Source organism: Homo sapiens, chromosome 17 (genome assembly GCF_000001405.40).
Source record: "Homo sapiens chromosome 17, GRCh38.p14 Primary Assembly".
Classification (NCBI taxonomy): Eukaryota; Metazoa; Chordata; class Mammalia; order Primates; family Hominidae; genus Homo; species Homo sapiens.
In genome coordinates this window covers 75,011,268-75,033,123 of record NC_000017.11, presented here as the reverse complement: position 1 = coordinate 75,033,123, position 21,856 = coordinate 75,011,268, and the positions used below count along the sequence as shown (strand labels likewise).

At 47.7% G+C, this 21,856-nt stretch overlaps 2 protein-coding genes and 1 pseudogene across 4 annotated transcripts in view, besides 9 other annotated features; all 3 read right to left on the bottom strand.

Moving 5' to 3' along the window:
* Positions 1-553, bottom strand: part of KCTD2 (potassium channel tetramerization domain containing 2) — a 33,316-nt gene extending 32,763 nt beyond the window's left edge. Inside the window, exon 1 of the transcript NR_110835.2 lies at positions 400-553. The gene's annotated coding sequence lies outside the window, so the exon portion shown is untranslated. The remainder of the gene's footprint in view (positions 1-399) is intronic.
* RNU6-362P (RNA, U6 small nuclear 362, pseudogene) lies at positions 1,938-2,027 on the bottom strand (annotated as a pseudogene).
* Positions 7,776-7,933: a silencer, noted in NCBI's record as "fragment chr17:73021286-73021443 (GRCh37/hg19 assembly coordinates)". NCBI's record gives its function as "represses an EF-1alpha promoter that drives an FKBP-Casp9 reporter gene in an ReSE screen in HepG2 liver carcinoma cells {active_cell/tissue: HepG2}" and the evidence as "EXISTENCE:reporter gene assay evidence [ECO:0000049][PMID:32094911]".
* MRPL58 (mitochondrial ribosomal protein L58) lies at positions 11,863-20,454 on the bottom strand. Of its 3 annotated transcripts, none has more exons than NM_001545.3 (6): positions 20,252-20,454; positions 16,010-16,046; positions 13,365-13,424; positions 12,729-12,811; positions 12,467-12,636; positions 11,863-12,203 (listed from the first exon to the last, which is right to left on the bottom strand). In NM_001545.3, the coding sequence occupies exons 1-6, from the start codon at positions 20,435-20,437 to the stop codon at positions 12,119-12,121; spliced, it is 621 nt and encodes a 206-aa protein (NP_001536.1). In that variant the 5' UTR covers positions 20,438-20,454; the 3' UTR covers positions 11,863-12,118. The 3 variants fall into 3 exon arrangements, with proteins under 3 accessions (NP_001536.1, NP_001290194.1, XP_016880063.1); NM_001303265.2 differs by having other exon boundaries at positions 11,863-12,198; XM_017024574.2 differs by lacking the exon at positions 20,252-20,454 and adding an exon at positions 16,532-16,724.
* Positions 12,097-13,296: an enhancer, noted in NCBI's record as "CDK7 strongly-dependent group 2 enhancer chr17:73015923-73017122 (GRCh37/hg19 assembly coordinates)". NCBI's record gives its function as "activates an origin of replication core promoter dependent on BRD2, BRD4, P300/CBP, MED14 and CDK7 cofactors, with strong dependence on CDK7, by STARR-seq in HCT116 cells {active_cell/tissue: HCT116}" and the evidence as "EXISTENCE:reporter gene assay evidence [ECO:0000049][PMID:35650434]".
* Positions 19,444-20,126: an enhancer, noted in NCBI's record as "H3K27ac hESC enhancer chr17:73009093-73009775 (GRCh37/hg19 assembly coordinates)". NCBI's record gives its function as "activates a minimal SCP1, AML or CMV promoter by ChIP-STARR-seq in naive H9 embryonic stem cells {active_cell/tissue: H9 hESC(naive)}" and the evidence as "EXISTENCE:reporter gene assay evidence [ECO:0000049][PMID:30033119]".
* Positions 20,127-20,810: an enhancer, noted in NCBI's record as "H3K27ac hESC enhancer chr17:73008409-73009092 (GRCh37/hg19 assembly coordinates)". NCBI's record gives its function as "activates a minimal SCP1, AML or CMV promoter by ChIP-STARR-seq in naive H9 embryonic stem cells {active_cell/tissue: H9 hESC(naive)}" and the evidence as "EXISTENCE:reporter gene assay evidence [ECO:0000049][PMID:30033119]".
* Positions 20,127-20,826: a biological region, named in NCBI's record as "H3K27ac hESC enhancer GRCh37_chr17:73008409-73009092".
* Positions 20,147-20,226: an enhancer, noted in NCBI's record as "active region_12727". NCBI's record gives its function as "activates an Ori minimal core promoter by ATAC-STARR-seq in GM12878 lymphoblastoid cells {active_cell/tissue: GM12878}" and the evidence as "EXISTENCE:reporter gene assay evidence [ECO:0000049][PMID:35858748]".
* Positions 20,277-20,586: an enhancer, noted in NCBI's record as "active region_12726". NCBI's record gives its function as "activates an Ori minimal core promoter by ATAC-STARR-seq in GM12878 lymphoblastoid cells {active_cell/tissue: GM12878}" and the evidence as "EXISTENCE:reporter gene assay evidence [ECO:0000049][PMID:35858748]".
* Positions 20,479-20,661: a silencer, noted in NCBI's record as "fragment chr17:73008558-73008740 (GRCh37/hg19 assembly coordinates)". NCBI's record gives its function as "represses an EF-1alpha promoter that drives an FKBP-Casp9 reporter gene in an ReSE screen in phorbol 12-myristate 13-acetate-treated (for megakaryocytic differentiation) K562 erythroleukemia cells {active_cell/tissue: K562(+PMA)}" and the evidence as "EXISTENCE:reporter gene assay evidence [ECO:0000049][PMID:32094911]".
* Positions 20,677-20,826: an enhancer, noted in NCBI's record as "active region_12725". NCBI's record gives its function as "activates an Ori minimal core promoter by ATAC-STARR-seq in GM12878 lymphoblastoid cells {active_cell/tissue: GM12878}" and the evidence as "EXISTENCE:reporter gene assay evidence [ECO:0000049][PMID:35858748]".

The window sequence follows — 21,856 nt, the reverse complement described above, 5'->3', positions numbered from 1 at the left end:
ATTATTAAATAAAAGTCTACTCACATCCGAAGGATTTAACAGAAGAAGTTCAGCCAAGGGCAGCGTCGGTTACCATTGTGCTTCTCTTGGGACCTTGCCAATCTGCCCCAGCATCGCAGGGCAAAGGAGACTTGGGGACATTCTTTTCTGTTTCTCTCCAAAATGTAGAGTCTGCAGAAACCTGTCTCCTCCCCTTAATAGCAGCAAGAAGGATTTAACCCACTTGGCTCCAGTTTACTGCCTTGAGGATGCCCCCCTTTAAGTTAACTAACTTGTCCGTTGCTGGGATCCAGCACTCTGCCCCAGGGCCAACCTGCAGGGATGCCTTCTCTGCTTTCCTGCTGCCGCCCTCTAGCTAGGCATGTTCCCCCAACCCGCCCGCCCGGGGCTCAGCCTTGCCTTGCTCAGCTGTTCCTATTCGTCCCCAGGGTCCTCTTGTCTCCCTGGGTCTTGGATCTTACAGCTCTAACCTCACTCCCAGCTCCAGGTTTCCATTCCCTCTCCTGGGCATCACCACTGGGCACCCCTCCTCGAAGGCAAAACCACACTGATCAGCTGTCCTCCCAAGGCCACTCCCCTTCATGACGTTGCTGTGTGAGTGCACAGCATCATCCATGTCACACCCCCACTCCCACACTACCCAGGCCAATTTTCTGTCCTCATAATCCTCCAGCATCCAGTATTTCCTCCCCATCCCTGCTGCCGCCGCCCTAGTTCCAGAACGTGTCCCTGACTGCTCACAGGGGGTCAGTTGCCAGCCATGCACACTTTCCTACAGTCTCCTCGTTCTGTCGTGGGCAGAGCAGTCTTCCTGCCACAGCCTCTGTAGGGGAAAGACTAAATGTCTTAGCTGTCACTTTTAAGTCCTTTCTTAAGGATCCCAGTCAATGTGGCAGACTCATCTTGCACAGCTCCTTGCCCTCTGGGTTCCAGCCAAATTGGGCTACAAATCATGGCTGACATTCCCCAAGTACTAGCTCAGTGCCACTAACCACGTATTTATTCACTGAAATCCCACAATAACCCTATGAGGAAGGCGCTAATAACATAACCTCTGGTTTAGGCTGAATGCAGTAGCTCACACCTGTAATCCCAGCACTTTGTGAGGTTGAGGCAGACTGATCACTTGAGGTCAGGAGTTTGAGACCAGCTTGGCCAACATAGTGAAACCCCATCTCTACTAAAAATACAAAAATTAGCTGGGTGTGGCGGGCACCTGAGTTCCCAGCTACTTGGGAGGCTGAGGCAGGAGAATCGCTTGAACCCAGGAGGCGGAGGTTGCAGTGACCCGAGATTGCGCCATTGCACTCCAGCCTGGGTGGCAGTGAGACTCTGTCTCAAAAAAACAAACAAACAAAACAAAAAAACCCCCCTAGTTTATAGGTGGGGAAACTAAGGTTCAGAGAGGTTAGATAGCAGCTGGGGGAGGTGGACGGATGGGAGCTGACCCTGAGCAGTTTGCTTCAGAGCCCATTCTCTCAATCACAAGTTTCCTGTCCAGACGCAGGCAGGCCTCGGAGTTGCCATTTTCCTAGCCTTTGCTGTTGGCCACCACTGGAGCCTCCAAGTGACATGCTGTTACCCTGCCAGTTCTCCCCTCCCTTCAGGCCCATCTCAAGCACATCTTCTCCAACCCTCCAGCTAGAACTAGTCACTCCTCTGCCTCCAGCAATCTACTGAGACCTTTCTTATGTCATTCATCGTGCTTCAGGTCCTGCTACTGTAAGAGGAATCAATTTTTCCTCTCAGCTTTTGTTATCACCTGATCAAATGTCAATTATCTGGAAGAATATTGCTTTGTTCACTTCTGACTCCTCCCCACCCCACGCTGTGAGTGCCTGGCATTCACTTAGCATTTGCTGAATTACTGAATGAACTAGGAAATTTTGTACGTCCTGCATATGAGCCTCAGCCCCCTCCTAGGCTCTGAGTCCCTTGAGGACAGGGACCACGTCTTTACTTTAAAGGAGCCATGCTAATCTTCTCTGTATCATTCCAATTTTATTTTATTTTATTTTTGAGACGGAGTCTCACTGTGTCACCCAGGCTGGCTGGAGTGTGGTGGTGCGATCTCGGCTCACTGCAAGCTCTGCCTCCTGGGTTCACACCATTCTCCCACCTCAGCCTCCCAAGTAGCTGGGACTACAGGCGCCCACCACCACGCCTGGCTAATTGTATTTTTGTATTGTTAGTAGAGATGGGGTTTCACCATGTTAGCCAGGATGGTCTCGATCTCCTGACCACGTGATCTGCCTGCCTCAGCCTCCCAAAGTGCTGGGATTACAGGCATGAGCCACCGTGCCTGGCATTCCAGTTTTAGTATGCATGCTGCTGAAGTGAGCAAATTTTTGTAGTTTGTAAGTCATTTATAGATGAATTTCCCCTTGTTTAGACTCATGTACTCATATAAAATAGATCAAAATCATATAGAACAGTTTAAGAAATTTATACATGCCAGAGCAATCTACTACTGCAATGCTAGCCTGAGACGACTGCAAAAATCTCCTTCCAGTTCCAACTTACTGTTCGTGCCTCTAAAATCCACTGCCTAATGCAGCACCTAACACACAATACTTTTTCTCACTCAAGATACCCAGTGGTTTTGTTGGGGTGATCAGACCCAACACCAGGTCATGGGGGCGACAAAGTCTGGCGGAGTCAAAGGAATGAGAAAAAGATAGTTTGAGAGAGAAAGTGGGACCAGGGGGCCATCGCGAGTGTGGAGGCTATGAAGGCCCCGAGCGCCAGGAGCCCACGCTATTTACTGGTGCTCAAACAAGGAAACAAGTGGTGAGGATGTGGGGGTTGAAAGGAAACAGTGTATCAAGTGAATAAGAAACATATGGCTGCTTGAGAGAATGGGAGTGCTAGAAGCAAGGAGCCAGTAAGTCTGGCGGACATGCAAGCCCTGCCTGAGCTTCTCTCCCAACACTCAGCTTTTCTCCTAACATGCCCCCCTTCTCTTTTTTGTAAAACTGCCACAGCTATCATTGTTACTAGCATAAGGTGGCCTCTTTTTTAAATTAATTGAGCAAGGCAATTTCAGGCTGTGCAGCTCTTAATTGCTGGTTGGTGATCCAGCTTCATTTTTCTTAGGCCTTTTTCAAAATGGAATTGCTCTGGTTTGGATGCTTCCCACATATCTCCCCTTTCCCTTTTACGAGAGGACCGTTAATCCTAGGGGTTGCAGAAGGATGAAGGTCCGTTTTCTGTAACTTCTTCATGCTGAATGGGGTGATGATATTCCTGCCTCCCTATTAGGGTCTCTTCTATTCAGGGTAGAGAGGAGTTCAGTCAGAAAGCATTGGTCCGTTAAGCATCTATAGGTAAAATCCTGGTGTTCCAGCAGTTTCTCAGCATGGCTCGTACTGGGGGAACCCGGTCCATGATTGGGATCCATGGCTCCTTCCAGTCTCCTGTTCATGGTCATACACATTTTGAGGGCACCTACACGGTTTGCTCATCTCCTGCAAAAACACAAGCATACCCTCACCCCCATGTTAGTAAATCTACTGAAACAGAAGCAAAAACTTTTGTGGCTGCAGCTGGGAGGCAGGCCATTGCTGAAGCATTTGTAACTCAGCTTCTGCCTCTTTGGTTAATTACCACGGGGTAAAACTTACCTTGATAACGAGAAGCAGGCCCCTTCTAACAGAAGGCACAGAGAAAGCAAATTGAAGCTTAAAAGCAATCCATAGGCCGGGCGCAGTGGCTCATGCCTGTAATCCCAGCACTTTGGGAGGCTGAGGTGGGAGGATCACCTGAGGTTGGGAGTTCGAGACCAGCCTGACCAACATGGAGAAACCCCATCTCTACTAAAAATACACACACACACACAAATTAGCCAGGCATGGTGGCGCATGCCTGTAATTCCAGCTACTCGGGAGGCTGAGGCAGTAGAATCGCTTGAACCCGGGAGGCAGAGGTTGCAGTGAGCCAAGATCGTGCCATTGCACTCCAGCCTGGGCATCAAGAGTGAAACTCCGTCTCAAAATAAATAAATAAAAGCAATCCTTAAACCTTCAATTTGCACTGTACAGGTGGGTCCACTAGATGCTGTGGCTCATGATAGATCTTCAGATGTTTGGTGGGCACCCACACAGGCACCTGATTGTCACCTGGAGAGACACAAGCAAATCCTCTTCCCCATAAATTATCTTTCGTTTTTCCCAGCTCTTTGTATGTGCATCCCTCCACCATATATATTGTCCAGCCTTTTTATTTTCCTTTTGTCCTGCCAGGTGTTGTTCAGCTGCAGTCACGGGTTGATCTTTTTGTAAATTAAAAAAATTTAATGTTAATAAAGCTAAATGCAATTGCATATGTGGTGTCTTATATTCCTGGTCCCCTCCCTTTTGCTTTTATATTTGAGTTTCTAAAGTATGGTTAGCTCTTTCCAGTAATGCTTGTCCTTCTGAGTTATATGTAATACCTGTAGTATGGGTAATATTCCATTGTTGAAAAAATGTAGCCATGGCTTTACTACAGTATCCTGGGCCGTTACCAGTTTTGATTTTTTTCTGGGATTCCCATAACTGAAAAGGAAGATAAAAGATGTCTTTTAACATGAGCTGTAGCTTCCCCTGTTTGACATGTGGCCCAAGTAAAATGTGAATAGGTATCTACTGAAACATGAACAAAGGAGAATTTTCTTTTCTTTTCTTTTTTTTTTTTTGAGACAGTCTCGCTCTGTTGCCCAGGCTGGAGTGCAGTGGCACGATCTCTGCTCACTGCAAGCTCCGCCTCCTGGGTTCATGCCATTCTCCTGCCTCAGCCTCCCAAGTAGCTGGGACTACAGGCGCCTGCCACCACGCCCAGCTAATTTTTTGTATTTTTAGTAGAGATGGGGTTTCACCATGTTAGCCAGGATGGTCTCGATCTCCTGACCTTGTGATCCGCCTGCCTCGGCCTCCCAAAGTGCTGGGATTACAGGCGTGAGCCACCGTGCCTGGCCCCGAAAGTACAGTTTTCTAAAAGCAGGAATACGTGTTACATCCATCTGCCAGATGGAATTTGGAGATAAACCTCTAGGGTTAACTCCTGTTCTTTTATGTGGCAGATGCAGGACTTGGCAGGCAGAACAGTGTTGCACAATTTCTTTAGCTTATTTCCATGATAGACCATATCTTCTTCTAAGGCCTGAGGCATTAAGATGGGTTGAAGAATGAAATGTTTGTGCATCAGCAAAGGCTGCAGACACCAATGCATCCGCCCTTTTATTAAGTTTAGTTAAAGGACCAGGGAGGTTAGTACGTGCTCTCATATGAGTGGTATAGAAAGGGGAATGCCTTTATTGCACTGCTTTCTGTAAAGAATGAAATAAAAGATTAAGTTGTTCCATCAGTCACATTTCGAATTAAGGCACATTCAATATTTTGCATGGCTTGCACTACATAGGCTGAATCAGAAACAATGTTTACTGGCTGTTTAAAAGTTTTTAACACTATTATCACAGCCATAAGTTCAGTCCTTTGAGCAGAAAGAAGCAGTCTGTTTGAAAAACTTGCTGTTGAGGTCTTGCAAATGAGGCTTTTCCATTATTAGATCCATCAATAAAAACAGTAATGGCTCCTTCAATAGGGGCTTTTTGAGTAATAGAAGGCAATATCCAGGATGTTAATTTCAGAAACTGGAAGATTTTAGACTTAGGATAATGATTATCAAGAATGCCAACAAAACTGGCCAAATTAACCTGCCATTCTTGGGAATTAATATAGGCTTGTTGAATTTGTTGTTTAGTTAATGGAACTATAATCTGATTTGGATCATATCCCATTAGATTTGTTGTGCGCAGCCTCGCTTGCCCTACTAGCACAGCAATTTGATCTAAGTACAGAGTGAGTGTTTTGGTTGTATTGTGAGGTAGAAAAAGCCATTCAACCAGATCATCTGCTGGTTTTTTTATTATTTATGGCAGGAACAGTAAAAGCAAATTTTTCATAATCTTGGGCAGCTAAAGGAATGGTAAAAAAGCAATCCTTTAGATCTATCACTATGAGAGGCCAGTATTTTGGGATCATTGTTGGGGAGGTCAGCCATGGTTGTAGCGCACCCATGGCTTGAATCACAGCATTAACAGCTTTTAAATCTGTTAACATTCTCCATTTCCCTGATTTTTTCTTAATGACAAATACAGGATAATTCTAAGGGGAGAAAGTAGGCTCTATATGTCCCTTTTGCAATTGTTCCTGCACCAGTTCTTTTAAAGCCTCCAGTTTTTCCTGTTTCAGCAGCCATTGCTCCACCCAAACTGGTTTGGCAGTTAGCCACACAAGAATGGGAACTGGAGGCTCAACAATGGCTGCTCCTAAAAATGACACCCCAATCCGGTCCGATCTGTTTGTCCTTCTAAAGGTTCTGATTGGCCATTTTTATTTTTTCCTAGTTCTTTTCCTGGGTGATATCCCACATTTTTCATTATTTGTCTACTATTATTACTATATTGATCCACAGGAATAGATATTTCAGCATCCCATTATTGCAATAAGTCTCTACCCCATAAATTGACAGGAATAGGTATAATGATAGGCTGAATTGTCCCTTCCTGACCATCAGGCCCTTGAGATGGTAAAATCAAAGAACTCTGAAAAACTTCTGAGGCAGCTCCTACTCCAGCAATACCAATGGATGCCTTTTGTTTAGGCCAGTGCAGGGGCCATTGCTTTATAGCAATAATAGAGACATCAGCTCCAGTATCTGCTAGTCCTTCAAAATCTTTTCCCTGAATGGTTACTGTGCAAACAGGTCTTTCGTCAGACACTTGATTAACCCAATATACAGCCTTTCCTGCTGGATTACTATTACCAAAGCCTCCTGTTCTTTTCACTGTGCTGCTGCCTAGTTTTATGTAAGGTAACAGCAACAAATCAGCAATTCTTTCTCCTGGGGAGGCAGACCACAGAGTCAAGGAACTAATAACAAATTGAATTTCTCCAGTATAATCAGAGTCAATTATTCCTGTATGTATAGTAACACCTTTTAATTTTTTTTGTTGAGATGGAGTCTCACTCTGTCACTCAGGCTGGAGTGCAGTGGCACGATCTTGGCTCACTGCAAGCTCCGCCTCCCGGGTTCATGCCATTCTCTTGTCTCAACCTCCCAAGTAGCTGGGATTATAGGCGCCCACCACAACACCTGGCTATTAGTTTTTGTATTTTTTAGTAGAGACGAGGTTTCACCATATTAGCCAGGATGGTCTCAATCTCCTGACCTCATGATCTGCCTGCCTTGGCCTCCCAGAGTGCTGGGATTACAGTCGTGAGCTACCACACCTGGCACACCTTTTAAATTTAGACTAGACCTTCCAAGTAATAGACCGACTGTTCCTGAGGATAAGGGTCTCCTAACTCCCATGGGGACCTTCTTTGGTGGCTCCCCAGGAAGTGTGTCCGGAATTGGTTCCTTCTGGTGGGTTCTTGGTCTTGCTGACTTCAAGAATGAAGCCGCGGACCCTCATGGTAAGTGTTATAGCTCTTAAAGATGGTGTGTCCGGAGTTTGTTCCTTCAGATGTTCAGATGTGTCTGGAGTTTCTTCCTTCCGGTGGGTTTGTGGTCTCGCTTGACTTCAGGAGTGAAGCCACAGAACTTTGCAGTGTTACAGCTCTTAAAGGGGCACGTCTGGAGTTGTTGGTTCCTCCTGATGGGTTCGTGGCCTTGCTGACTTCAGGAATGAAGCCACAGACCCTCACGGTGAGTGTTACAGCTCATAAAGGTAGTGCAGACCCAGAGGAAGCAGCAGCAAAATTTATTGTGAAGAGCAAAAGAACAAAGCTTCCACAGCATGAAACAGCACCCCAGCGGATTGCCACTGCGGCTTGGGTGGCCAGCTTTTATTCCCTTACTTGGCCCCACCCACATCCTGCTGATTGGTCCATTTTACAGAGAGGTGATTGGTCCGTTTTTACACAGTGCTGATTGGTGCGTTTACAAACCTTTAGCTAGACAGAGTGCTGATTGATGTGTTTACAATCCTTAGGTAGACAGAAAAGTTACCCAAGTCCCCACCCGACCCAGAAGCCCAGTCGGCTTCACCTCTCCTAAGGAGATGGTAATTGTGCTGTAGAGGTCTATGGCAGCACTGCCTGCTGAAGTGGGGGACAATTGTTGCACGTTTGTAAGGGCATGGCTGTGCCTTGGTTTGTTGAGGGGCTCGAGGCAGGCCTCTCTTCCCGTTTCCTGAAAGAGGTTGTCCATCCTTGTTAAATTTAGAATGACACTGACTTGCCCAGTGTTTGCTTTTCTTACACTGGAGACATATACCGGGACTTTTCTGTTGACTGATGGTAGTAATGTTTGCCTTTTGATTTCCTTTTCTACATTCCTTTCTTGGGTGTCCAAATTGACCACAATTAAAGCAAGGGCCTGAGAAATGGGGTATATTCTTTCCTACTCTTAATCCAGCCATAGCCTGAGCTAAAAGAGTTGCCTTATGTAAGTTACCTCCAATGCCATCGCAATCCTTAATATATTTAGCTAAATGAGCCGTCCCTCTCAGGGGTCTAATAGCAGTTTGACACTGCACTAGCATTTTCGTATGCAGGAAGCTGTATTACAACATCCTGAGCCGTTTTATTAGTAATGGCTTTATACACAGCCTCTTGGAGCTGAGCAATAAAATCAATATATGGTTCTTTAGGTCCTTGACGGATAGAACTGACAGAAGGATGTTTTTCGCCTGTAACATTTATCCTTTCCCATGCCCATAAGCACACAAAGCGCAGCTGAACAATGGCAGCATCCTCCATTACTGCTTGATTTCTCTAATCAACCCCAGTTAGGGCCAACTCCCATTAACTGTTCAAAGGAAACAGGCACAGGTGGCTGTGCTTGTATGTTTTCCCCTGCCTGAGTTTGAGCTTCATCAGCCCACCAGGTTTTAAACTGCAAATACTGAGATAGGGTGAGAACAGATTTTGTCAAAGTATCCCAGCCACATGGTATTAATCTATTATCAAGAGCCATATTTTTTAATAGAGTTTGCACAAAAGGAGAGTTCGGTCCGTATTGACTAATGGCTTGCTTAAATTCCTTTAGTAACTTAAAAGGAAAAGTGGCCAATTAGCTGTATTCTGTCTTCTCTGCTGGATGATAGTAACAGGAAATTGCCATGCTTCAAGGTCTCCCTCGGCTCTAGCTTTATGAATAGAATTTTCTATAGCATCACCAATTGCTCCAGGTTTTAATATTGCAACTATAGGAGTAGTAAGTTTTTCAGCTAATTCATCTTCTCACCCATTAAGAGGAGAGAGAGGAGGTGGCCATTCACTTAATTTAGCAGGGGGCGCCGACGGGCTAGTAAAACATACTTTTTTTAGTTTTCCTTTCTTTAATCTCCTCCGGTAGCTGTTCCTCACACTCAGAATCTGAAGTTAGTTTTTTACACTCATCCTCCTCTTCCTCATCTCAATCTGCCTCATCATCTGTTTGAAATGGCTCAAGAGCTGCCTTTATTAGCGCCCACATGACCAAATAGAAACTGGAATATCTGCTCCCTCTTTATACGCCTTTTAAAAATCTCTGCCGATTCTCTCCCATTCATCCAACTCCATAGTCGCTTGTTCCGGAAGCCATGGGCAAAACTGCTTTACTGTACTAAAGAGTGATAACAAATTCTGAGTACTAACTTTCACTCCCCCTCTTCATAATAAATGCCAACAAATTCTGAGTACTTTCACTCCCCCTCTTCGTAATAAATGCCTTAAGAAATTTAAATAAGGCCGGGCGCGGTGGCTCACACCTGTAATCCCAGCACTTTGGGAGGCCGAGGCGGGCGGATCACGAGGTCAGGAGATCGAGACCGTCCTGGCTAACACGGTGAAACCTCGTCTCTACTAAAAAAAAAAAATACAAAAAATTAGCCGGGCGCGGTGGCGGGTGCCTGTAGTCCCAGCTACTCGGGAGGCTGAGGCAGGAGAATGGCCTGAACCCAGGAGGCAGAGCTTGCAGTGAGCCGAGATCGCGCCGCTGCACTCCAGCCTGGGCGACAGAGCAAGACTCCTCTCAAAAAAAAAAAAATAATAAAATAAATTTAAATAAGCAAAATGTCTTTCACTTTATCCCATTGTTACCCTGGTTCTTCCGAGCGCTCAGCTTTCCTGCCGAGCTTCTTTTAGACGCCTTTGGGTGTCCTTTGACGATGTGTTCTCCGCTTTCACACGCTCTAGCGTTCCTTCACCAGGGTCTTTGTCACCCCACGTTGGGCAGCCAGGAATGTTGAGGTGATCAGACCCAACACCAGGTCATGGGGGCAACAAAGTCCGGCGGAGTCAAAGGAATTAGAAAAAGACAGTTTGAGAGAGAAAGTAGCACCAGGAAGCCATCGCCAGTGTTGAGGCTGTGAAGACCCCCAGCTCTGGGAGCCCACGGTATTTATTGGTGCTCAAAGAAACAGGTGGTGAGGATGTGGGGGTTGAAAAGAAAGTGTATCAAGTGAAGGAGAAACATACGGCTGCTTGAGAGAATGGGAGTGCTAGAAGCAAGGAGCCAGCAAGTCTAGCAGACATGCAAGCCCTGCCTCAGCTTCTCTCCCAACACTCAGCTTTTCTCCCAACGCTCAGCTTTTCTCCCAACAGCTTTCTGTTACCCACATCTCTTAAAACCTTTGCCGGGTGCAGTGGCTCACGCCTGTGATACCAGCACTTTGGGAGGCCGAAGTGGGCGGATCACCTGAGGTCAGGAGTTCAAGAGCAGCCCAGCCAACATGGTGAAACCCCATCTCTACAAAAATACAAAAATTAGCTGTGCATGGTGGCATGCACCTGTAACCCCAGCTACTGGGGAAGCTGAGGCAGGAGAATCGCTTTAACCTGGGCGAAGGAGGTTGCAGTGAGCCAAGATCACGCTATTGCACTCCAGCCTGGATGGCAGAGTGAGACTCCATCTCAAAAATAAAAGAACCTAAACTCCTTAACTTGAATTCAAGGCTCTCCACATCAAGCCGGTCTCTCTCTGGGTTCACCTCCCGCTGCAATGGTGGATCACCCTGCACGAATCCACCATTCAGTGCCTTTGCCTTCTTTGTCACCCCCTCCACCTCAGCCTCTTTTGTCTCTTGTGTTCATTGTTCCCTTCAAATGGCATGTCCGCCTCCCGTCTACTGATGAAAGTCCCATGCCTTTTCCATAGCCCGGCTCAAATGCCCACTTACCTGTCTCAGCCCTCCTACCTGGTTGTGTGTGTAGTTTCTTTTTGTTTTGTTTTTGAGACGGAGTCTGGCTCTGTTGCCCAGGCTGGAGTGCAGTGGTGTGATTTTGGCTTACTGCAACGTCACCCTCCTGGGTTCAAGCAATTCTCCTGCCTCGGCCCGAGTAGCTGGGATTACAGGTGCCCACCACCTATTTTAGTAGAGATAGGGTTTCACCACGTTGGCCAGGCTGGTCACCTCAGCCTCCCAAAGTGCTGGGATTACAGGTGTGAGCCACCACGCCCGGTGGTTTTTTTTTTTTTTTGAGACACGGTCTTGCTCTGTCACTCAGGCTGCAGTGGTGCAATTATGGTTCACTGCAACCTTGAACTCCTGGGGGGCTCAAGTGATCCTCCTGCCTCAGCCTCCCAAGTTGCTGGGACTATGGACATGTATCACCACACCTGGCTAATTTTTGTAGTTCTTGTAGAGATGAGATCTTGCTATGTTGCTCAGGCTGGTTTTGACCTCCTGACCTCGTGTGATCCTCCTGCCTTGGCTTCCAAAGTGTTTGGATTACAGGCGTGAGCCACCACGCCTGGCCTGTGTGTTCTTTCACAGCAGACACCAGAACCCTTTCCTGTTCCCCAGTGCTGTGTCGATAACTGTGCGGCTGATTTAACTGAGAGAAAAGGTAGGAATTGTTTTCTGAAGCATTCTGAATGAGAAGGGAAGCCTAATGAGTTCTGATTTTTATTGTGACTAATACATGAGGTGCATTATTAAGGTTTGACAACATGGTGACTGCCTATAAAGACGTCTGCAACCAGTGCCTGCAGCCTTCATTCCAAATGAACATTCTTGTGATGGCTCCAATGTTATAGACAAGCATTAACAGCCAAAAAGAAAAACAGAAATCTCCTTATGGTGTGAAAGTCCTCTCAGCTGCAGCTGCCCGGACGCCCAGAAGAGCCCTCCCAGCTGCAGAGGGTGATTTCAGTCCATGTCGACCCTCCTGCTTGTCTTTACAGCAGAATGAATTCTCTTTTGTCTCAGCCTTTCCCGATTCATGTTTTCTATCCTGAAAACAAAAAGACTGCAATTAGCCCCAGATGCCCAATCAGTGCTTTTCAAAGTGGTGAGAGGAGTTGGGAGCTCAACGGGAAGCCGAGCAGTTACACCAGCAGGCACTAGCCCGCAGGCCTCGGTCCCAGGTCAGCATCCTCTCCTCTTCCTAGAGTTTCTCCCAAGGCCGGCCTTGGACTCTCCCCTGCCCCTTCCTTACCTGTGTAGACTCTTGTCCACACAAATCAGTTTATAGCATCTTAGGGCATTTCCTGGTACCTGATTCTATGAAGTTTAACATCTTCTTTTGTTGGCTCCTTCGGTGTCTGGCTGGCCTCAGTGATCATGTCTCGAATTTTCTGCAGGCAATCTGCCAGATTCCGGAACTGATAGCGGCTGCTCTCAGAGGTGAGGATCAACTCTCCTAACCTGTTGATCTTGTTTTTATGCTGCAGAGAACAAATGAAAAACTGGAGTCCTACAGAGTAAAGGTTTAAAAGCCACTGAGGGATTTCTAGGGAAAGAAAGGGATGGTGGTTACCGTGATGGCTATCTTCTGCCGCACGGGCTCCGCGATCCACTCGGCAGTTGCCAAATGGAACCTGACTTCTGCCTTGGAATTCACTGTGGAGGAAAGGGAGAAGGGAGCATGGGTGCCTGAGACTTCCAGGAAGGATCAACCCCTGGGTGACCAGTGACCATTCTGAAATAAAGGGAGGCCAGACACCTAACCATGTACATTGTAGCCTATGTCCAAGTTGGCTATGAACAAGCCCGCAAAGACAGTGAGGCACTTTTGGGCAAAAATAGACTTCCAGTAACTAAGCACCCAGTCCTTCTCTTACAGTTTTACTGGGTTCAAAAAAAAAAAAAAAAAAAATGGAGGGAATGGGTTGCACCAGAATGAAAGAAACCTGTTCTTGGAGCTGGCTGCCACCTCACAACTGTGATTTCTCTTTGTTTAGACTCACAAGCCGATCCTAGTCCTAGCAACCCACAGCTGAATGTCTGAGAATCAGACCACATTCAAAAGAATAAAGAGGATTATTATAAGCTGGCAGTATTAAAGCTTCTGCTGAAAAATCCCTTTATTCCATATGAACACAAACACAGAGCTCCTCAAGCCCATCTCCCAGCTACATTTTAAAGCAAAAGAAAGCAACAAGGCACCCCGTACCTTTGTTCACATTCTGCCCCCCAGGACCACTACTCCGACAATAAGATATTGTCAAGCGATCTGTAAAACAGAAGAAAGTACACACACAAAACTGATTACCTCATGGCATGAAAAGCAGTCTTGTTGTGTCTGAGGAATGTAGGGAAGGTATTATATTGGGAAAATTTCAAAAACTGCAAGAAGTTTGGGTGGCAAGGAACTGTGGCACCACGGTGGCAGAGAGCTGGTCCCAGTGAGCAGTAGTGACTCATCTTGGGACTGCTTTTAAGAGGATTTCCTCCTTTGGAAAAATCAAATTAAATCCACTTTCTGACTAGGTAACAAGTACACGTGCCACTGCAGGGGAACAGTTCTGCCATGGTGATTGCTGGCAACCTTGCACATGGCCAAAGCTTGAGCTGCAGCTGACCAAAGTCTTCATAGGAATGGAACGCTTCGGGATCCATGAGAGTGTGGGAGGCTGGTGAGGAGCTACTACCGAGCTACTGCCCACTTGCCTGCCTGTCTCCCCCTAGGAGGCTGTCACAAGACACTTCTCTTCGCCTCCAGTTCTGATGAGATAGGAGGCTTTCTGCCTCCTCCCCTACACACATGCACCCCTTAGGGCACAGCTTCATTTTTTTTTTTTTTGAGACAGGGTCTCACTCTGGCACCCAGGCTGGAGTCCAGTGGCACAATGACGGCTCACTGCAGCCTCAACATCCCAGGCTGAAGCGAACATCCCGGGCTCAAGGGATCCTTCCACCTCAGCCTCTCAAGTAGCTGAGACTACAGGCGGGCACAGCTTCAAGCTACAAAACTGCTTCACTGCAGCATGGTATTCGCTCCTCAGCCACAGGGTGTCCTGTCCCTTGGGTTGTGGTCATCTGGCCTCTGTTTGAGTCATCTTGAGCAAGGGCCACAGGGAGCCAGCATCTTTGGCTGCTCTTCCTCGCACTGTCTATGGAAGTCATACACTCTCCGAATCTAAAAAAGGCTCATTGTTTCTTTACAGGCTGTAACTGTTAGGCCTTGCTTATGCTTGACAGGTAAAAAATTTTACAGTTATGTAAATGGTTTATTTACATGGAAATGTCTTTCACTCTTGTCTCTCAGCCACCAAGTTTGTCTTATCTCTCTATTCCTCCAGGCAGTCACTGTATCCAGGGTGTTCCTTTCAGATATAGATATCTCTCTACACAGATAGGGATATAAATATAGATACAGATATTCAGAAATAGATATTTCAGGCTGGGCACGGTGGCTCACACCTGTAATCCCAGCACTTTGGGAGGCTGAGGTGTGCAGATCATGAGGTCAGGAGATCGAGACCATCCTGGCTAACATGGTGAAACCCCGTCTCTACTAAAAAATACAAAAAATTAGCCGGGCGTGGTGGTGGGAACCTGTAGTCCCAGCTACTCGGGAGGCTGAGGCAGGAGAATGGTGTGAACCTGGGAGGCGGAACTTGCAGTGAGCCGAGATCGGGCCACTGCACTCCAGCCTGGGTGACAGAGCGAGACTCCATCTCAAAGAAAAAAAAAAAAGATATTTCAGAGATATAGATATGTAAAAAACAAATGGTAGCTTATAAACTCTCCTGTGTCTTCCTCTTTCAATTCATCTATTGTAAAGAGTGCTCCACGTCATGAGAATGTCAAGAGCTCTACACTCACGTGGCACACGGCACAGTACGATGCGACTGGCCACACCATCATTTATTTGCTATTCTAAATAATGCTGCAAAGATTCTACTTCTGCACACCCGAGATAGTCTCTTTACTTTAATTGGGCTGGAGAGATCTGGAAGGAATGTGTGAAGGATTAGAGAAATGACTGATTTTTTTTTTTTCGTCTGAGACAGAGTCTCGCTGTGTCGCCCAGGCTGGAGTGCAGTGGTGCGATCTCAACTCACCACAACCTCTGCTTCCCAGGCTCAAGTGATTCTTGTGCCTCAGCCTTCCGAGTAGCTGGGATCACAGGCGCCCACCACCACACCCGGCTAATTTTTGTATTTTTATTTATTTATTTTTGAGACAGAGTCTTACTCTGTTGCCCAGGCTGGAGTGCAATGGCAGGATCTCAGCTCACTGCAACCTCTGCCTTCCGGGTTCAAGCAATTCTTCTGCCTCAGCCTCCCAAGTAGCTGGGATTACAGGCCCTCGCCACCACACCCGGCTAATTTTGTATTTTTAGTAGAGATGGGGCTTTGCCATGTTGGCCAGGCTAGTCTTGAACTCCTGACCTCGGATGATCCAGCTGCCTTGGCCTCCCAAAATGTTGGAATTATAGGCGTGAGCCACTGCGCCTGGCCTAATTTTTGTATTTTTAGTAGAGATGGGGTTTCACCATGTTGGCCATGCTGGTCTCAAACTCCTGGCCTCAAGTGATCTACCCACCTTGGCCTCCCATATTGTTGGGATTACAGGTATGAGACACCATGCCCGGCCAACAGGCATGATTTTTTTTTTTTAATTTTTAATTTTTTCCAGATAGAGTTTTGCTCTCGTTGCCCAGGCTGGAGTGCAATGGCACAAACTCGGCCCACTGCAACCTCCACCTCCTGGGTTCAAGCGATTCTCCTGCCTCAGCCTCCCAAGTAACTGGGATTACAGGCACATGCCACCACGCAGCCAACTGATTTTTAAGAAAACAAAATTACTTACCTAGAGGGATGTCACTGTCGGCTTGCTTTGCACCATTCTGTAATGTAATGTACACAGTGTCAAATAAATATTACCTGCTGGGTGACTCCTAACTGGTTCAAGGCAACAAAGAAATGATGTAAAGCCACAACACAAACATTGTACATTAGTATTTTCAGGTCCCCTGCAAAATGATATCACGATGACAGAAAAAGCATCCTCAGACTCCAGAGGTACCACCTCAGAAACACTCCTCTACGAAAATGGATCTGATGTCTCCAGCCTTCCCTGCCCTAGCCTTAGCTAGTGTCAGGCACCATCAGAGGCCTGGCTCCAGCGGGAGGGGGAGCCACAGTGCACATGCATCAGGGAACCTCCAAAAGCAACACCCTCTGTCAACCTGGAGCAACAAGCCTGGTGGGCCACCCTGTTCTTTCCGGGGCCACAGGAGACTCCCACACAAGGCAGTCCACCTTGGACAGTGACTATAATTGCACCCTGAGGGTTTCTGTCAAACTAACTACTCACTCCAGGACTTCTCACCTCCATGTCTCTCTCTCTCTTGCTGTTCCTCAAGCAGCAACGCCCTTCAGCCTTAAATCTTTGTATCCACAAGGCCCAGTGCAAACGCCACCCACTCCGAGGCTTTTCTGGCCCTCCAGGCTCAAAGCATCAGTATCCTCAGGTGCACTCCCGACTGCCTTCATTTCTTTTTTTTTTGAGATGGAGTCTCGCTCTGTAGCCCAGGCTGGAGTACAATAGTGCGATCTCAGCTCACTGCAACCTCCGCCTCTTGGGTTCAAGTGATTCTCCTGCCTCAGCCTCCTGAGTAGCTGGGATTACAGGCGCATGCCACCATGCCTAGCTATTGTTGTTTTTTTTTTTTGTATTTTTAGTAGAGATGGGGTTTCACCATGTTGGCCAGACTGGTTTCGAGCTCCTGACCTCAAGAGAGCTGCCCGCCTTGGCCTCCCAAAGTGCTAAGATTACAGGCGTGAGCCACCACGCCCAGCCTGTCTTCATTTCTTTTATCTTAGAATTATTTGGGAGTTGGCCGGGTGCAGTGGCTCACGCCGTAATCCCAGCACTTTGGGAGGCCGAGACGGGTGGATCACTTCAAGTCAGGAGTTGGAGACCAGCCTGGACAACATGGTGAAACCTCCCCTCTACTAAAAATACAAAATTAGCTAGGCATGGTGGCACACACCTGTAATCCTAGCTACTGGGGGAGGCTGAGGCAGGATTGCTTGAACCCAGGAGATGGAGGTTGCAGTGAGCTGAGATCAGGACACTGCACTCCTGCCTGGGACACTGCACTCCAGCCTGGGTGACAGCTAACGAGACTTTGTCTCAGAAAAAAAGAAAAAAGAAAAAGAAAAAGAATTATTTGGGGATGAAACCCTTATCCTACTCCACCTGTCTGCAGCACTGAAGATCATGGGCCACACCCTCCTTCCTGAAGCATGTTCCTTCTGTTCCTTCTGAAATTTTCCTCTTACCTTCCTAGGACTCTTTCTCACTCTCCTTTGCTAGCTCTTAGCAACTTTTAAACACTGACATGCCCTTGAAATACTTCTCTCTCTCTCCTCTTTCTTTCTCTAGAATACTTCATCTATGCTGATGAAAATAGCCAGTTTTTCGTTTTTGTTTTGAGATGGAGTCTTAAGGTTGTCGCCCAGGTTGGAGTGCAGTGGTGCAATCTCGGCTCACTGCAACCTCTGCCTCCTGGGTTCAAGCGATTCTCCTGCCTCAGCCTCCTGAGTAGCTGGGACTACAGGCGTGTGCCACCACGCCCGACTAATTTTTGTATTTTTAGTAGAGACGGGGTTTTGCCATGTTGGCCAGGCTGGTCTCGAACTCCTGACCTCAAGTGATCTACCCTTGGCCTCTCAAAGTGCTGGGATTATAGGCATGAGCCACTGCGCCTGGCCAGAAAATAGCCTGTTTTTGACACCCAACTTTCTGGCTCAAACTCAAACCTTTCTTCTCAACTCCACACCCATATACCCAACTGCTACTCAACGTCTCTTCTCAGATGTCTAATGGACCCAAACCTTAAGCCGCCTCAGAGGACTTCCCTTACTAATAATCTGAGGTAGCCTCAGCACTTTGTTGCAGCACCCTGGCCTATTCATTACACTACTTCTCACTACCTGATATTTTCCCTATTTGTTTACTGTCTGCTCCTTCCATTAGAATTAAGCTCCATGAAGGAGAGAGATCCTGTATTTTGTTTATCATGGCTGTATATGCTAGACTCAAGTAGTAGTAGACACAGTAGATATACAATAAACATTTTATTGAATGAATGAACAAATGAATGCTATTGCCACTCTCTCATCTCAGTTAATAGCAACTCAATCCTTTCACTGCTCAAGGCCCCAGACTTGGCTGGGCATGGTGGCTCACGCCTGTAATCCCAGCACTTTGGGAGGCTGAGGCGAGCAGATCATTTGAGGTCAGGAGTTTGAGACTAGCCTGGCCAACATGGTGAAAACCCTGTCTCTACTAAAAATGCAAAAATATGAGTCGGGCATGGTGGTGCATGCCTGTAATCCCAGCTACTCGGGAGGCTGAGGCACAAGAATCACTTGAACCCAGGAGGCGGAGGTTGCAGTGGGCTGAGATCACGCCACTGCACTCCAGCCTGGATGACAGAGTAAGACCCTGTCTCAAAAAAAAAAAAAAAAAAAAGCCTGGCGCGGTGGCTCACGCCCGTGATCAAGACCAACCTGGCTAATACGGTGAAACCCCCTCTCTACTAAAAAAAAAAAAAAAAAAAATTAGCCGGTTGTAGTGGTGGGCGCCTGTAGTCCCAGCTACTCAGGAGACTGAGGCAGGAGAATGGCGTGAACCCGGGAGGCGGAGCTTGCAGTGAACAGAGATTGCATCACTGCACTCCAGCCTGGGCGACAGAGTGAGACTCCGTCTCAAAAAAAAAAAAAAAAAAAAAAAAGGCCCCAGACTTCAATTCCTCTTTTATTCTCACTTCTCACATCCAATCAATTAGCAAATCTTGCAGGCTTTCTTTCCAAAATACGTCTAGGATCTGACCAATTCTCATGACTCCTACTGCTTCCACCCTGCTTATCATCTCTTGCCCTACATTGCAATCTCCTTACTTGTCTCCCTGATCTTGGCATCCTCTATCTGTTCTCTGTAAGGCTCTCTGAGTGATCCTTGTAAAACTAAGATAATTCCATTCTGCTTCAAGCTCTCCAATAGGTCTCCCTTGCGTTCAGAGGAAAGGCTGGAGGCCATTAAGTCCTAGTAACAGGCCTTTCCCCAGCCATCCCTCTCTTTGGCTTTGTCTCCTGACCCCTGCTGAGCCACACCTGGGGATTGCTACTGCCTTCAGGTTATTGCACTTTCTCTTCCCTCTGCCTAGGATGCTCATCCGCCCCCTATTCTCATGACTTGCTGTCTGGCTTCTTCCAGGTCGTTATTCAAATGCCACCTCATTGACAGCGTTCCTAGACAATCCTACTTAAAATTGCAACCCTACTTCCTACCTCTGGCACTACTTCTTCCTTCTTGGCTTTATTTTCTGCAAAGTACTACCTCACACATTCTATATTAGTCATTTACTTACTGCTTGTCTCCCTCCACTAGAACATAAGCTCCACAAGCTTTAGAATTTCAATTTTGTTTGCTACTCCATCCCCTAGCCTAGCACAGCTTTTGTTGAGTGAGTGAGTGAATTAATGAACAAATGAATGGATATTCTTTTCCAGTCCTGTAAGTGGAAGCTCAATGGGTTTGGGTGGGTCTTATCTCTCTTGCTCCGGGGCTTGATTCAATGCCTGCACACAGCTGGCTAAATAAATGCATCCTGAAGGAACGACAGAGAAGCTGTTTTATTCGCGCGTCCTGGGGTTACTAGAGACAATGGACACTGTAACGTCCCAAAGGGTAGCAAACAACTTGGCAGCCTCTTGCCTTTATTGTCCGCCTTGGAGGGCCAGAATGCCCGTATTTCCCCTTGGGACTGGAATTTGGTCTTGAGGGCCAAGGACACGAACGTAGAAAAGCTGGCAGCCTTGAAAGAAGCATACCCAGCCGGCCTTCCGGGCTCCTGCACATCTCGCGCTACAGCGAGCACCCCACTCCCGGCCAGGTTAGCGCAGACAGCCAGCCCCCTCCCGCGGCGACCATCACGTAGCCCCCCGACGTAGCTCCACATCCGGCCAATGGGCCTGGGGTTCCTAACGTCACCCAGCAGCCTGACAAAACGCCCCTTCCGTCCAGTCCTTCCCGGCTCACCGGGACCCTCCAGGCGGTGTCCGAGCCCTGAGATTCGGGGTAGAGCTTGTCCAGGCTGTAGATGCTCTTGAACTCAGTGCCGTCTTTCTGCTTGTGCAGCGCCCGGCGTGGGCACCGTGCGGGCGGTGGGAGCAGCCAGACTCCGGCTCGGCTCAGGCCCCAGCGCAGGCACCTGGTGGCCGCCATGCTCAGGTCTTGCGACTGCTTCCGGCGGGCGCTTCCTCCCCGCGGTCCGCAAACTCGAGCCGCCCTCGAGCTTTGGTTCCGCGCAGTTTCTAGGTCCCGCCGAGGGGAGGCGGCAAACTGGGGTCCCGCCGATGCTTTCTGGCCGGCCGCCTCCGGGAGGCCTGGTTGGCTGGGGAAGACGGTGGCCAGAGAGCGAGCTGCTACCGGAAGAGTGCCCCGATCTTGTGGCCCCCAGAAACACCACTTCTCTCCTTTCAGAGTCCGTGCCCTCCGCCTGGACCGCCCACTGCCCAATTCAAACAGCAGCGAGGCCTGCCCGGCCAGCCTGGGGCATCTCCCGCCCCGCGCTTCCCAGCCCCTTTACTCTGCTCTAATTTATCTTTTTTCTCTTCCTTTACAAAAATCACTCAGTCCTAATTGTCTAATTGCTGTCTCCTAGCCGGAATGTGAGCTCCAGGAGGGCACCGGCTCACTGGTATATCCCCAGCACCCAGAACATGGCACATCGTGGGCACCCCATGAGTACTGATAAAATGAATTCTGTAGGAATGTACTTTTGAAAGTTGGGTTCTGGTAGAGCTGAGTTTTAGGAACGCCAGGCTCTTTTTACAAGGCAGCCTATGAGCAAATTCCCCGCTGAGCACGTGTGTGTACTGGCTTATACCCAGCAGCTCTGCAGGACAAATACCAGATGGGAGGAGAAGGCAGGCCACCGAAAGAAATGTTTGCAAAACCTGGAACATCGTCCCCCGCCCTTCAGCTTTATGGAGCAAGATGATGCTTTCTTCCAGCCAGGAGAGAGGGGGTCCCTCGGGAGGTAGGGAGAGAATTCAGAGAACTGCCAGCTAACTAGAACCCTTTCATAGCGCTGGTAAGGGATGAACTACAGACAAGTTCCAATTCTGAAAAAGGTTCACAGTAGAGCAAGCAGTGTTTGAAAACAGCTAAACCTTAGTTAAGTTACTGTGTTGAGAGGCTATGTGGTAAATGGAAACAAAGCTAAATAAATGTTCATAATTATTAGTAATGCTAGCGATTGTTTCTTAATGAAGAGTTCTATTTTTAGGAACAAGCATAATTATCTAGAAAAATGTGCCCCCGGGGATGCTGGCTGATTGAAACAGGAGATTGTCATCACACCAAGCTTTTACCATCTCCGCATTATGGCTACAGCAAATCTTTAAGAAGGAATAAACCACTTTCTAAGCACTGGCTTTATAAGCTCAGACTAGAAAGGGGTGACAATTGACATATCTCGGGCTCTATCTCGGGTTGGGAGGAGAGTCTCCTGGGTCCCGCGCTGTTTGACTTAGTCCCAAGACCTCAAAGGGAATAGACGCATCTCTATGGCAACTGGAATAAGCTGCTCAGAGGAGCAAAACCAGGCATTCACTCAGGTCGGGGGCTAAGGGGTTATGA

What these genes read in the sequence shown, in the direction of transcription:
- MRPL58 (NM_001303265.2), bottom strand. Translation starts at nt 20,437, where the DNA reads ATGGCGGCCACCAGGTGCCTGCGCTGGGGCCTGAGCCGAGCCGGAGTC. An exon ending in GGGGCAGAATGTGAACAAAG is followed by an intron (nt 12,812 to 13,364) that starts GTACGGGGTGCC and finishes TTTCCTCCACAG; the next exon opens with TGAATTCCAAGGCAGAAGTC. An exon ending in GTTAAACTTCATAGAATCAG is followed by an intron (nt 12,199 to 12,466) that starts GTACCAGGAAAT and finishes TTTTCAGGATAG; the next exon opens with AAAACATGAATCGGGAAAGG.